Source organism: Homo sapiens, chromosome 11 (genome assembly GCF_000001405.40).
Source record: "Homo sapiens chromosome 11, GRCh38.p14 Primary Assembly".
Taxonomy (NCBI): Eukaryota; Metazoa; Chordata; class Mammalia; order Primates; family Hominidae; genus Homo; species Homo sapiens.
The window spans coordinates 118,162,027-118,177,608 of NC_000011.10; the positions used below are offsets into that span (position 1 = coordinate 118,162,027).

The window sequence follows — 15,582 nt, forward strand, 5'->3', positions numbered from 1 at the left end:
TAGGAAGAGGAAGGTAAGCCTGGTAAGCCTCCTAGGCAAGAGAGAGAGAGACAGACAGACAGAGAGAGAGAGAGAGAGAGAGAGAGAGCGGTGCAAGGGAGAGAGGGAGAAATGCAAAGAGACGGAAGAATGAAGAGCAAGGGAGAAAAAAAGGCCTGTCTGGGACAGTGGAGCCCCTAGCCAGGAGGTTGCCCTTGGTCCTAAACTTCTTAGGGCTGCTTTGGCACATATATATAGGATCCAGCAGTATGTAGATGGGACATGAGCCACCTGAACCTTCCCACAGCCACCCTTCTCCATGAACTGCATGAGGGCAGACTCTGACCAGCTGTCATCTATTCTTTCTGAGTCCAGAGGAGGCAAAAGAAATGTCTAATCCAACACCTTTGGGGAACAGAGCAGGAAGGATGGCCTGTCTGCCCATGCAAAGGACAGGCAACATCCGCATGACAGTCAGCCTTGGGAGCTTCCGGGGTTGTCTTCATCCCCAAAATAATCGAGAGCCCTCCAAGAAGTAGGTGTTCAGCCACTCTGTTCCAGGGTGAGCGGAGTCCCCAGGGGGTTGGGGAAGGCAAAGGGATGAAACATCTGTGGGGGCACAAGTGTGGGGTAGACAACCTTCCCCTTGTGAGGCAGGGGCATTGAGGCCCTCAGATGCTGGAGATCTGGCAGCGCCAATGGGATTACCAGGAAAGGAGCACCTAGGGTTCCAGTTAAGATCCTGGTGAAGCATCAGCCTACCCTGCCCTGAACCCCTGAATAAAGCCACACTCGAGGGATTTTCAGGGGAGATAGTTTATTGTTGCCAGTAGACCCAAACAATAAGACAAATTGCAAAAGAAACTCAGTCTGCTCCCAAAAGCAGATACATCCCAGCAGTCGAGTCACAGAGGGCCATCTCAGTTTCTCTCCCCTTCCAACCACCCCTTCCAACCTCTCTATAGCACACACAACCAAGAAAGTGCATATGTAGTTGGGTTTTCCCCTCCAAGTGCACAAAGCGCAAGAACATTCCAAAATTTGCCTTTGGTGAATCAACTCAAAACACTGAGAAGTTATTACACCTCCCCACACACACACAGTGTAACTTTTGGGGTGGGTGTGGTGAGATGTTTGATATTTGTATATATAATATATCTATACCTAGAGAGAGAGACTATGTACAGTGCATCAGCAAGCTTCAATAAAGGAAGACGCCAGCAAGAGGCACAGCAAGAGACACAGGCTGTCCATCTTTAAGACATAAGTAGGAAGGAAGATTTCTTGCTTCATCACCCGTTAACTGCACCAAGCCATTCCTATGGCCTGGAACTATCCTTTTGGACCTGCCCAGTATTTTCAATTGTCTGTCTGCTTAACCTGACCTTGCAAATATTTACCAGCCCAACCTCCCCAAGGAGACTCGCAGAGAGAAACATGGATCCGATCAGCTTTTCCTTTTTATAAACTGGAAATAACTGTGAAGAGTCCATAGCTAGGGGGCAGATAGCTATTTCCAAAGCCAGTTCCAAGGCACCTCAAAGCAGTTCAGTCCTGAATAATTGTGCTTTGTTCTTATAAGCTAAATCCCATGGGTTAGCCAGCCCGTCTCTCTTTGCAGTGGCCCTTAATTAGGAGGAAGAGACAGATGGGGGGTGGGGGCAGAGGGAGGTTCTGAGAGAGCAGGAGAGGCTGGGGCAGTTGAGAAAGTCAGCCGACTAAAACCAGCAGAGCGTGGTGGTGGGAACATGCAACCAGAAGTGGGGCTCGAACCCCACGGTAGGAAGAGGAAGAACTTGTCAGCATAAGTTAGGAAACAGGGTAGGGAAATGGCTGCTGTGGAAACATCTCTCTGGTTTTCCACCTCTACTTACAGAAGCCCCATTTTGCTCCCAACTTCACCATCCTGGGGGAGGCAGCTCTATGAGTCCTCTGGAGGAGATTCTAAGAGGCTCCAGAAGAAAATGCATATGAGGGCTGAGCACCTGGGACAGAGATGGTTCCTGACCCAGCCCCATCTGCTGGGGCCCTGAGGCCCGTGAAGAGACATTGCTTTTCCTGGGCCCCAGTTGATCAGGGCAGAGGAAAAAAAGACTCCAGGAATCTTGGGCTTCTTGATGGAGAGTTAGAACTTCTTAGAATACACTAGGAAAGCCCGCAAATAATTCCCCTAAATGTTATGGATCCTGGAAAAAGATAAGTTCCCAACATCAGCACAGCTCCTCACTCATCCTGGGAGAGAAGGACACTTAAAGGGTGACCAAAAAAATGAAATCTGCAAGCTGCAGAAATGTATACAACCACTCTTGGTCTCAGCTGGCATGAGGTGCCCGCCACCCACCTCTCTGCCCCCAGCTGGCTGGCTCAAGGATGGGCAGCGTCCATCTGCTGCAGGCATCCTGGCGGCTTAGCCCACCCGCATTGGCAGTGTGTTGATTGGCAGTTAGGTACTGAGCTGATGAGTTTAGCATTTCCAGATGGGCTTGACTCGCTCACCTCACCCAGGTGTTACCAGGCTGGTTGCCCATCCCCCACTCTGCACCCACTCTGCCTGGCCTCTGCACCCTTGACCCTGTTGTATTGCCCCTCTTCCCTGCTGTTTCTCCCTTCCCAGGGCACAGATTCTAGAATCTCTTCATCTTCCCCAACTGTAGCCTTGGAAGCAGTGTCTTGCAGAGGTGGAATTAGATGCACCAAAAAGTTAATCTTGGTCCCTACAGTGCCAACCTGGCAGTCCCCAGTGCTTATGGCTTTGTGTATATCCCCAGTGCCCGGCACAGTGCCTGGCACATAATAGATGCTCAATAAATGGTTGCTGAATTGAAGCAAATTAAGCTGAATCTCCCAGATGATATTGCTGTCTCCCCAAATTGGCAATCTGATGGGCAGAGGCAGGGATTGGTCCCTGAGACTGTCACGGTCCTGTCTCCACCCCCTTTCCTAGACTTATTCCCTACCCTGGGCACCTGACTCCTTGAGTAGGGGTGGGGCAGAGCTCCTGGAAAGGCTGGGAAGTGCTGGGGCAGGGAATGGGGCATTTGCCAGCAGCTGTGCCCTTCACACTTGCTCCCTCCCTCCCTGCTTCCCTCCACTCCTCCTCAGTCCTGGCCAGAGGGGCTGGGCTCCTGGGAGGGGGCAGGGCTAGAGAAGCCCACCCCTCCAACTCGCCCCATCATAGACCAGGACACAGAGGCCCCTCCCACTGGGAAAATGATGGCTCTGTTGCTTCAAACTGGAGACTGAGGAGCCAGAGAAGAGGGCAGGACCCTCAGTTTCTGTCAGTTGGAACCTCAGTTTCCCCATTTTAAGTGAGTGACTTGGCTAGTTGATCTCTGAGGATCTTCCAAGGTCATGGTCTCAGAGTCAGTGTTTCTGCCTCTTGCTCCTTCTCTCAGGCCTAATCAATTTCCATTGAATGTGAGTGTAATGGCAGTGATGGTTGGCTCCGCACAATTGCCTTTTTTTTTTTTTTTTTTTTTTTTTGAGATGGAGTCTCTCTATGTCACCCAGGCTGAATTGCAGTGGCACTATCACTATCTCAGTTCACTGCAACCTCTGCTTCCCGGGCTCAAGCGATTCTCCTGCCTCAGCCTCCCAAATAGCTGGGATTACAGGCACACGCCACCACGCCCAGCTAATTCTTGTATTTTTAGTAGAGATGGGGTTTTGCCCATTTCTACTAAACAGATGGAGGTAATCCACCCGCCTTGGCCTCCCAAAGTGCTGGGATTACAGGCGTGAGCCACTGTGCCTGGCCTACAATTGTCACTTTTGTCCCCACGAAGGGAGTTGTTGGGAGAGGAGCGAGTAGTGTGGCTGCAGATGGGACAGGGCTGGCATTGGCAGCTCAGGTTCCAAGGCCTCCCCTTATGCCGGCCTCAGGCTTTCCCTTCCCTCTCTGTAGCCAAAAGCCAGGTGGAAACCCCACCAAGGGCAACTGGGAGAGTTCTCACTGAAGCCCCAAAGAAAGCTGCCCCACCCTGTGCATGGCCTCCTCATTTCCCAGCCTTGGCTGCCCCTGCCCAGGCGAGGGTGGTTACCCCATGGAGAAGGCAGAGCCTGCAGCAACCTGCATTCACCATGGAGCCCCACCCCTCAGCCCCTCAGCTGACTTTGAAACTGGCCTCTGTTGGTGGGTCCCCGCTGGGAAACATGGCCCCCTACCTGGAGCTGCTCTTCCAGTCTGGCCTCATCCACAGTCCTAAGGGATTAGGAGCCAACGGGAGCCCCAAGGAGGCCACTAGCAATGGAAACGAGGGCCCAACATGGCCTCCTGGGCCAGGGCACATGTCCAGCTTTGCCTGCAGCCCTGGCTTTCCGTCAGTGCCCTGGAATGCACAGTCATCCCTTTAACATGCCCCTCCAAGTTTCAGGAACTCATCGTCACCTCCAGCCTGATGGCTGCTCTGGGCTGGGAGCAGGGGAGGAGCACAGCCGTGCCAGGCCAAGGCCCTCCTGAGGGAGCGCTGTCAGCACAGGAAAGCCCTCCCTCCCCACCAGGTCCTCTCTGAAGCCACTGCCAGGCCAAGCACTGGGCAGGTGGACAGCGGCCCCCTCCTCTACCCCTGCCCACCCACTCCCTTCTCTCTGGGGACCCTCACATGTGCCTCCTGCCTCCCCCCAGGGACTGGCAGGTGGGAGCCCTTTCTCTCCTCTCCCCAGGGCCCACACGTCCCAGAGCATGGCAGGTTTCTCGGATGGAAGAGAGTGGGTCACTCTTGGTGCAGGGTGGGAGATACGAAGTCGGGGGTTCAGGAGGCCCCAGGTGGGCCCTGGGGTCCTAGGTCACGGGAAGCACACCAAGAGCGAGCAGGCAGGGTCACTGTACAGGGCGGAGAGGGGAGGAGACGGGACACGGGAGGCTGCAGGGCCGGCCACCCACTACTTGGCGCCATCATCCGGGTTGCCTTCACCGTCCGTCTTGCCCTCCTCCTCGGTCTTCAGGTCATCTGTGCTCAGCTTCTGCTCTTTTTTTCTCCTCACACACTTGACCACCATCAGCACCAAGATGACCACAGCCAGGAAGCCCCCGACGGAGGCACCCACAATCACGGCCACCGTGGAGTCCCGCTCAGGGGGCTCTGGAAAGGAAGCAGAGCCACTGAGCACCAGGGCTGGGAAAGGGGCCTCCCCCATCACCCCACTACCCGTGGCATGCGTGGAACCATCCTGACTTTACTCTCCTCCACAGACAGGACTTTAGCAAAGCCGAAAAGCAATCCAGTGACTGACCCTGAAGCGCCGCCACCTCCAAATCCCAGGACACCCAAAGCCCCCAGAGGAGCTAGTGTGATGAAGTATTTAAGAGCATGAACTTTAAGATCAAACAGACCCAAATTTGAGTCCTAATTGTACAACTTACGAATTGCGTGACCTTAAGTAACTTATCCTCTCTAACCTCAGTTTTCTAACATGTAAAATGGGCTTAATAATAGTACCTCCCTCAAAGGTTTTCATGAGGATGAGATAATGCATAAACAGAGCTTAGCCCTATGACTGAGACATAGAGGTGCCCAATAAATGAAAGCTGCCATCATCACCATCATTATTATTGCTGTTGTTGTCATTTGAAACAGGGTCTTGCTCTGTTGCCCAAGCTGGAGTGCAGTGGCACAATCATGATTCACTGCAGCCTCTACCTGCTGGGCTCAGATGATCCTCTCACCTCAGCCTCCCAAGTAGCTGGGAGTATAGGTGCAAGCCACCATGCCCAGCTAATTTTTGCATTTTCTGTAGAGATGGAGTTTTGCCATGTTGCCCAGGCTGGTCTCGAGCTCCTGAGCTCAAGCTATCTGCCTGCCTCAGCCTCCCAAAGCGCTGTGATTACAGGTGTGAGCCATCACACCAAGCCCCATTATTAAGACTGGGATTATATTCTGTATCATTACCAGGACTCTCTGGGACATGTTCCCAGGTTCTTGAGGACTAGAGGGAAGAAAATGGATTCCTTCTATGCAGCACAAATGGTTGCTCCCATCCTCAGGAGGGCCTGGCCTCCCCAAAGTGCCCTGAGCAAATGCCGCAGAGAGTAGGTGGGTGGGAAAGGTCAGGGCCCCGCAGCTGGCACCCCAGCCTTCACCTTCCATGAGGACCTGCAGATGGATCTTGCCATGGCCACGGTGGCGGTCAGGGGGGTTCATGATGTAGCAGTTGTAAATCCCCTCATCCTCCGGCTGCACGTTTCTCAGCATCACCGACACATCGTACTTGCTGGGGTTCCCTGAGAACTCCACGCGGTCTTGAAACCGCTCCAGCTTCAGGTTAATGATCTTCATGCGGAACTGGAGGAACTGGGGTTGGAGCAAGGGACAGGATGGGTGGCTGGATGAGCAAGGAACTACAAGGACAGTGAGGATGCCCCCTCTTCCCATCCACCCTTTTCCTGGGGAAGAGAGGCAGTTACCTCTGTGAGGCACCTGGATGCGCAGCACACCTTGTTTCAAGAGCCTCCAGAGCACGCAGCCCACCCAGGGTCCTCTGGGGCCCTAGCGCAGTGCCGGGGCCGGTGGTGGGACCAGGGGCTTCATGCCATGGGGCTCCTACCTCCTCCCCTGCCCCTGCCTTCAGCCCAGGACTCACCATCTCCTCAGAGCAGTTGTTGCACTCCTGGTAAGTCCAGTTCAGGGAGAACTGTTTGTGGTTCACTGTGTAGCAGGAGTTGAAGGTGCAGGGCAGGCGGGCGTCAGAGCCATTGAGGACGTTGAGGGTGGCAGGTACTGTGACCTCCATGCTCCGTCCTGGTGGCACTGCAGATGAAGCCACAAGCTGGTGAGGAGTCTGGCTGAAAGGGCTGGGGAGGGGCAAGCCCTCTGTGCCTGGGAGTGTTGGGGGATGAGGCAGAGCAGAGCCACAGGGAGGGGACTGGGTCCCTGACAGCTCCAGTTAATCAGGAGGTGGGAGTTACTGTTATTTGCAACAGGGTCTCTGTTGCCCAAGCTGGAGTGCAGTGGCGCAATCATGACTCACTGCAGCCTAGACCTGCTGGGCTCAGGTGATCCTCTCACCTCAGCCTCCCAAGTAGCTGGGAGTACAGGTGCAAGCCGCATGGAATTGGACTTCGTTCTTCCTGGCAGGGGCCCACTCAGCCTCCCCAGTCCATACTCCTGGAGTGGGCAGGCACATATGGGGCACCAGATGTGGTCTTTGGGGCAAAGCGGGGCCACAGAGCAGGTAGGGGAGGAGAGAAACCAAATCGTCACATCATCTATATCTGTCAAGCCAGGGGCAGCCAAACGGCCTCAAGCCTTTTCTAGAACCACTGTTAGGCACCCCTGCCCCCACCACACTTGCCCCAGTTCTGTCACATGCCAGCAGAAGACCACAGACAAGGGGCTTCACTATGCTTGCCTCAGTTTCCCCCTTATTCTCACCACTTCTAACCATCTTTGCTGGGCCAAAACCCTTCCAGCTGAAACTGCAGGGCTCCCCTGCCGTTCTGTTCTCAGGACAGCAGACTGAGAACAGCTGGAGATTTGGAAGGCCTCGCTCTCCATACCCCAGGGACAGAGCAAAGCTGTGTCCCAGCCCAGCCCAGCCCCCTACCTTCCTCAGGCTTGCAACAGACAAGAAAGAGGGCAGACAAGCTGTGGGAGGGAAGAGGTGCCCCAGAAGGTGAGGCACCATTCCAAGGACCAGCTGATGGGTCTGCAGGGACAGGAGTCCCTCTTGAAGATGTCAACCTGGAGACACCACAGCAAGGAGCTGCTACAGGCAGGCAGGGTGGGAGCTGCTGGTTCTGCAGAGTCCTATTAGGAACACCAGACTGAGGCCAGGAGACTTTGGTGCTGGGGCTGAGAAAGGCCTGTCCCACTCCGACATTCTAAGCAGGACAGAGCCTACAGGGAGGCGAGCGAGGGGCCTGGGGCAAGACACTTAAGGGGCATCCACTGCCTGGTCATGGAAATACCTCCTTAAATGTCACGCCCTAGGCACCTCACTGGACTCACCTGAGCCCTGGCCTTCATTCCAAGATGCTCTGCCCGTATCCTCAAGAACCTTATCTCAGAAGATTCCTTTTCTTTATGGAGGATAAACAGCAGTGTTCAGCATCATTCATTCACTCATTTACCAAATATTTATAAATCACCTACTGTGTGCCAGGCACTTAGTCTAGGCCCTGGGGGTTACTGCTGTGAACAGGACAGGCAGAGTCACTGCATCATGAAGCTTATATTCTGGGGAGAAGGATAGACATCAACAAGGAAAAAAATCATGGAGTTGTAGGTAGAGACACTCGGCAAGGTAGAGGGGCATTGTCTGATGTCGGGTGGGCAGGGAAGACTGCTCTGAGGGGGACACACAGGCAGCGCCCACCTGAAGTGAGAGAGTGAGCCCGTTGAAGTTTTGAGCGAGTCGAGTTCCCAGGCAAGTGTACTCCCAGGGGCCAAGTCCCAGTGGCTGGAAGGAGTTTCGTGTGCCTGAGGCAGAGGGAGCAGAATGACCGAGGGGGTGCATGGTGAGACCTGAGGTCCAAGAGTTAGGCAGGGACCAGCTCACAAAGGCTTTGTGGGCTAGGATATGGAATTAGGAGTTTCCTCTTTGGAGTGTGATAGGAGGTCCCTGCAGGGTTGGGGAGTATGGGGGCTGCTGGGAGGCTGTCCAGATGAGCCCGATAGAGGCTGATGTGGGAATCGCATAGACAAGGGGATGAGACTAGACTTGGGTTCAATCCCAGCTCCAGCATCAGAAGCTGGAAGAGTGGGGGCTACTCCTTTGTAAAACGCAGTTGGTGACACCGATCTCCCAGGGTTGTTTCGATAATGAAAAGAAGCAGTAAGTATTCAGCAAATGGTAGCTGCTATTATCCTCAATTCTCCCCAAGTTCTGCCTTGCAAACAGGAAGGGCTTCTAGGGGAGCCTCTGGCCTGGCCTGAGGGCACCTTGGAGACTGCCCCACTCCAACCAGTCCGTAGGAATTGGCGAACAGCCCAGGCCTGCAGGGCTCCTATTTTTCAAACTTTTTTTTTTTCTTCACAAAGCCGTAGAAGCAGCCGCCCTGCAGCCTGCAGGGAAATCAACATCTGCCTGGAGCACCCTTCTGCCAGCCCCGCCCCTGGCCCGAGTGACCAGGGCAAATGGCAGGACTTAAGAACCAGAGATTCTCTGAACTGGCAGCAGCCCTGGATGGAGGGGTAGGCATGGGGACCTCATCTGTTCTCCAAGCTGGGAGACAGCTGTCACCATCTGCGTTTTCTAGAGGAGGAGTCCAGGGCCGAGGATTCCAGGTGTGAGCTTAAGTGCTCATTAGGGGAATAAGGACTGGGGAGGCTGAGTGGGCCCCTGTCAGGAAGAACAAAGCCCAATTCCATCTCCTGTACTTTCATCGCCGTTCTGAAAGCATCTGGCAGCGCACCAGCCAAGGAGGAGGTGTGCAGAAAATGCCAACAGCATCTTCATCTGCAGAGGCCCAGAGCTCTGAGGGAAGGCACTGACAGTGCTTGTCCTGAGCTTACCTCCCATCCCAGGAATGTCCTATCCCTCTAGCTCTTCCCTTGGAAGGTCGATCATCTTCCCAGGGGCTCCCCAGACCAAAAAGTCTGCGTTCTGCGAAGCCCGGCGGACTCTGTGCGGGCCTCTGCCCCCCACCAAGCCCAAGGCAGTGCTCCAGATTAGAACTTGAACCTCACCATCTCGAAGGAGCTAGCACCCTGCCGTGGGGGAGGGCAGGGTAGAGAGGAGTGCGGGGGCGCCTTTTCTGGCCGGCAGGACGGGGGCAGCCGGAGAGGTGCAATGCGGGCTCCCCCTCCCCACCCTGCAGCGGGGCCCTGCAGAAGGTACCGGGCGGAACACGCGTGCCCTCTAGTGGTCACAGAGTCAAACGTCAAGTTCCATCCTGCGGAGCGAGCATGGGATCCGGAGCCACAGCTGGAGCTGAGATCAGAAACCGTAGATCTAGCCCCATTGTTTTACCGGTGAGGAAAGGCCATGAGAGCCACACACAGAGAATAGGGACAAGCTGAGGCCAGAATCATGGTTCCTAGCCCCTAATCCAATATCTCCACGTAAGCCTGTGGCCTCACCAGAATCCCAGCAGCTCTAGGGTGCTGGCCTCAGACCTCCCGCCAGTCCGGGCCCTCATTAAAGACGAGGGGACCATGGCTCAACAAGGTCAGAGCTGTGAGCAAAACTCTGGTCTCTTGATTAACTCTCCTGCTTCGGGAAAGCACCCGAATGCATGGCCAAGGCCACAGAAAGGACTTCATCACAGCCACAAACCCTTACAAAATGCTTACAACGAGCCAGGCACTGTCTACATACTCTACATACATCACCTCATTTAATACTAACAAAACCTGTTATCGCTCCCACATTCCGGATGAGGAAGATGGAGCACAAAGAAGTTAAGAGACGAGCCCAAGTTCACGGCTAGTAAGAGGCGAAGCTAGAATCTGAAGCCAGCCTGCCTGGCTCCAGACTGGGTTGAGGCATTGAAGCTGAGTGGTGAAGTGAGCCCCATTCCAAGGCATCCGATCTCTTGCCGACTATATGGCAGGTCCAACTCCAGGCAGGCCCGCCAGCAGGGAATTGTACCATTTAAAGGAACCTCCATACAAGGGGGGCCCACAATCTTCCTGGTTGTCCCATTTGAGACCAGGTCTGGGGCCTGTGTCTCCTGATTTTCAACTCACAGAAGGGAAAAGATCATCAACGGGATGAGGCTTCTGATCTTAGATCCAAAACCTCAGCAGTGGCGGGCCACCCGCTGTCTCCAAGGCACATCTGGGCCCTCAGGCCTCGTGTCATCCACTGTTCTAACTAGCCCATCTTGCAGAGACTATAAAAATTTGCTCATCTGCCAAATGCTGTCTCTTGCAGAGACTGGAAGTTAATCTCTTCACTCCTCTTTCCACCCTACAGCAACCTATGAGGTAATTATTTTCTTCTTGGTTTTTTTTTTTTTTTTTAAGTGTCTAAACAGATGAACTGTCTCCCGGGGCAGCCCCTGCCTCCCAGGTGAGTGTGGCATCCAGCCCGTATCTCCGCACCTGCACTGCCTTACCATCCAGACCCTTCCTGCTCAAGGGCCTCCCCAACCCCGGCCACTCCAGTCCATCCCCGTGCAGCCAGGAGCAACCCACCCTCATCACTCCTCACCTCCAGACCTCCAACGGCTACCCACTGCTTTCAGGATCAAGTCCAGGCTCCTGGGCACAGCTTCCAAGCCCTTTGGCATCTGGGACCAACCTATACCCTAGCCTCATCCCCTGCCAGCCCCCATCCCCCCAGGTCTCCTTCACTCCAGTGACCCCAGTTCTGATTTTTTCTGAAAACACCACCTTCCTTCCCTTCTCCATGCCTTTGCACGTATTTTTGCTTCAGGTTGAGAAGCTCATTTGCCCTCCTGCCCCTGGGCCCCTCCTACTTATTCTTCAGGTCCCAGCTTACAGGGCATTAGCCTCGGTGACTGTTTCCCCATTGTCCTTGTCCTCACCCCAGCCCTGTTCCTATCTCTTCCACATGACTTGAGGGCAGAATGGCAGGATAGTTAACCTCCCAGTGCCTCAGTTTCCTCATCTGTAATATAGGGGACAATAAGCCCAACTTCATAGGGCTGTCGAAGGATTAAATGACTTACTACCTGTATGAAGCTCAGCACAGTGCCTAGCACATGGCCTGGACAAAAGTCAGCTGCGACTATGATGAGCATTATTGCTATTATTGTTGCCATACATACAATGTTGTCTTGTTATTATTTGTTCATGGGCCTGTTTCCCTCTAGAGGCTCCGGGGAACTGACTCCTATTCATCTTGGTATCCCTGGCACCCAGGACAGTGTGTGGCAGAGTGGGGACTCAATAAAGTCTACTAAAGGAAGAAGAGACAGCTTTCTCTCCATGTCTGGGTCCCCACCACCACAAGCAGCAGATATGTGCAGTGGGCTAGAGTGAGGACTAGACTTCACTTTCTTTCTTTCTTTCTTTCTTTCTTTTTTTAAGAGACAGGGTTTGGTTCTGCTGCCCACGCTGGAGTGCAGAGGCATGATCACGGCTCACTGCAGCCTGGAACTCTTGATACTCCTTCTTCAGCCTCCTGGAACAGTTAGGACTACAGGTACATGCCACCATGCCTGGCTTATTTTTCTTTTCTTTTTTTTTTTTTTTTTTTTTTTTTTTTTGTAGAGACAGGGTCTTGCTATGTTGTCCAGGCTGGTCTCCAATTCCTGGCCTCAAGCGATCCTCCCACCTCGGCCTCCCAAAGCACTGGGATACAGGCGTGAGCCACCATGCTCAGCCCAGACTCCACTTTCTATGCCTCCACTAACATAATCCATACATTGGTAAGCAGGCCAGTGACTGTGGAGTCAACGGTCTCAAGAAAAACTTGAGGGAAGCCCAGTCATTTGAATTGTTTCTGGCTAAAACTAGCCTCATATGCTTCTGCCGTGGGTAGAGCTGGTTGCCCACCTGCCCTTTCTCTTTGCCACCTCCATAGTCATCCCCACAAGCCCAGCCCCGACAGAGTCCCCTCCCTCGTCACTTGTGGCATCCTCCATCCTGGGGATCGATGCTACTGCAACACCACCAAAGTTCCACTGTCAACTCGGCCCTCAGCATTGGAGTGCCAGGGACATGCCTCATTACAGCACCAATCAAGTTCAAGTTCAAGGTCCCCATTCCTGCATCCTCTCCCACTCAGCTTTGCAGAAGCTTTAGCTTCCTCCCACTACCATCTCCCCACCCCAAACACTCAGACCTCTTCATCGCAGACTCCCTCTTCCTCACCCTAGCCCAGAGCTCTGGGTCCTGGTCACTGAGCCCCCTTTCTATCTTTACTTAGCCATGGCTCTCACCAGGCGGCTTCTCTCCTGCACGAAGTGCTTCCTAACTCCTGAGGAAAGGGTCCTGTCCTCCAGCTGGGCCTCCTTACAACAGGCCACTCACCCAACTCCCCTTCTTTCAGCCTGTCCTGAGACTCTGATCAATTAGGTACTGTTAATATAGCAGTGCCATTTCTTGAACATTGGGGAGTGGAATCCAACGTTTAAGAGAATGTGCTGAAGTCAGACACAGGGAGTTCAAATTTCAGCTCCCGTTACCATAGTCATCTGTTTCCTCCCTGTAACCTGAGTATAATAGAATCTACCTCCGATTGCTGTGAGGGCTAAACAAGATACACAGTGCCTGGGCTCACGAAAAGCATTCTTATGTTAGCCATCGTTGAGTTCCTGCCATGCACCAAATCACAAACACGTCAGGCAGTAGGCATTCTTTAGTTTACCCGGGAGGGAACTGAAGCTCAGAGGGGTTGAGTAACTTGCCTGTGATCATTACGTAAATGACAAAGGTGGCTTGAAACCCAGGTCCTGCCAGAGATTCCATAGCATTCCTGCTCTGATGTTAATATGCCAAGTAACTCAGCAAAGCAGGCTGGCAGGGCCTCTGCACTGTCTGTGTTTAGCACTCCTACTCCAAACCCAGCACATCACACCACAGAAAGAGAGAGAGCCTTTGTGGTGGGGAATAGTTCCATCAACAGTCCTTGGACTTGACTCTCAGTTGCTGCTCCAGCAATAAGTAAGTTTAGGAGCAAGAATGAAACTCTACAAAGCAGGCTTGCAAATAACTTTCTAGCCCACTTCCCCACCAGGAAGTCTCTGAGTGGTCAAATACAAACACTTGACAGGACAGTCTGCAAGACTGGGCTGGGCAGTTCTGAGGCTGGATTTAAAGGGCTGCAACCTCGCTCAGCCTGTGGGTTCCATTTTTTTCCTGAATCTCTACACCTGGCCCTTCCTCCATTCCATCCGGCCCAAGCCAAAGGTGCCTTCTCCATCAGTGCGTGCCTCAGCAGGTCTCCTCCCAACCCAGACATCATTCCCCAAGCCCGCTTCCCACCTACTCCCACACACGTTCCAACAGATCAGTGAGACCGAGTGCCAAGAAGCCAGACCCAGACTCAACTTTCTGCCACCAGCTCCCCTGCACACTCTCCTAATACCCTAAATCCACCAGGATCAAGCTTCTGAAAAGAAGCCCCTTAAGGGAGCATTAAGTCCCAGGACCCCGCATTTGCAGCAACTCCAAAAAATAATCCCTGAAGAGACTGCAGGTCAATCCACTCTCTGCCCCACCGCCACGTAGGTCCACTTAGGGGAAATCCAGAGAAGATTCACCTCCCTTGACAATTGTCAGCCCCCAGCAACACTCAGATCCCCTGACCCAACATTTCTGTGACTAAGTAGTCCCAGGGTTCTGCACTCCCCAGCAACGTCCCTTCCAGTCCCCAGCACCTCCCCTCCCAAGGACACAGAGGGAAAGCGCTAGCAATGTCTTCTTTCCTATCCCCTGCCCCCATCCTCTTCACATTGCGGCTACACTTCTGAACCCTCGGGAGCATGCAGATGTGTCTAACTTACCCAAAGAGAAAAAGAGACTGAGCCCCGTGAGGCTGAAGGCAGGGCGAGGTAGCCAGGCATCTCTGTGCATTTTCAGAGACTGAGATGTTAGTCGGGTGGGCTACGGGAGAGGGTGATTTGAGGGGGCGAGAACTACAAGGGAGGAATGGTTGGATGCTAAAAAAAAATGCACGGATGTACTTCAAAGACATATACAACATTAAGGAAGCTTTATTTCCATCTCTCTAATATGGCCGGCTTGTATGTTGCTGCTAAAAAGAGAGAGAGAGGGAGTGTGTAAAGGAGAGAGAGAGAGATGGGGGGGAGAGAAAAGGGGGATGGGGTAAATATTGTGGTTGGTGGATTTCAAAAAGCAGGTGGGAGGGCATAAAAAAGTCATTTTGAAAAGAACAAAATCCCAGAAATTTTTACCCTCTAAAACAAGAAATAATACAAACCCTGCTTTTTGACTTCACTGGGATGATTGTTGGATTTTGAAAGCTATTAGAGGAATCCATTTATTTTAAAGATTCTGGAAAGGGAAACACCTTTTATCATTTAAAAACACCCCCAGGCTGACGCAGTGGCTCACACCTGTAATTCCAGCACTTTGGGAGGCCGGATGGATTGCTTGAGTCCAGGAGTTCAAGACCAGCCTGGGCAACATGGCAAAACCCATCTCTACTAAAAATACAAAATTTAGCCAGGCATAATGTCGCATGCCTCTTGTCCCAGCTACTGCACCGCACTCCAGCCTGGGCCCTGCCTCCAGAGGGAAAAAAAAAAAAAAAACCTAAAAAAAAAAAGGAGATGCTTGTTTTTGTGTTATTGAAAAGGGTTCAGGAAAGTGAGTTGGAGAGACTTTCAAGGGGTAATGCTTTCCTCATTCTAGCGTTTCCTCTGAAAACAGAACATGTTGAAGCAGGCTGATAGAAAAATACCCAAGAGATCTTACAATTGAATGTAACACAGGCCTTTGGATAAACCTGATTCAAACAAATCAACAGGAAAGAAAAGTTTTTGAGACAATTGGGAAAAGTTAAATATGAACTACATAGTAGATTGTATTAATGAATCATTCTTAATTTTGTTGGGTCTGATAAAATGTGGTTTTGTCCTTTAACATCTCTATCTGTTAAAGACACACATGGGTGGCCGGGCGGGGTGGCTCACACCTGTAATCCCAGCACTTTGGGAGGCCGAGGCAGGCAGATCACCTGAGGTCAGGAGTTCGAGACCAGCCTCCCTAACATGGTGAAACCCTGTCT

At 52.8% G+C, this 15,582-nt stretch overlaps 1 protein-coding gene across 1 annotated transcript; it reads right to left on the reverse strand.

Annotated features, from left to right (window-relative positions):
• On the reverse strand, positions 780-14,613 carry SCN2B (sodium voltage-gated channel beta subunit 2). The gene is made up of 4 exons (NM_004588.5): positions 14,336-14,613; positions 6,559-6,725; positions 6,059-6,269; positions 780-5,060 (listed from the first exon to the last, which is right to left on the reverse strand). The coding sequence occupies exons 1-4, from the start codon at positions 14,403-14,405 to the stop codon at positions 4,861-4,863; spliced, it is 648 nt and encodes a 215-aa protein (NP_004579.1). The 5' UTR covers positions 14,406-14,613; the 3' UTR covers positions 780-4,860.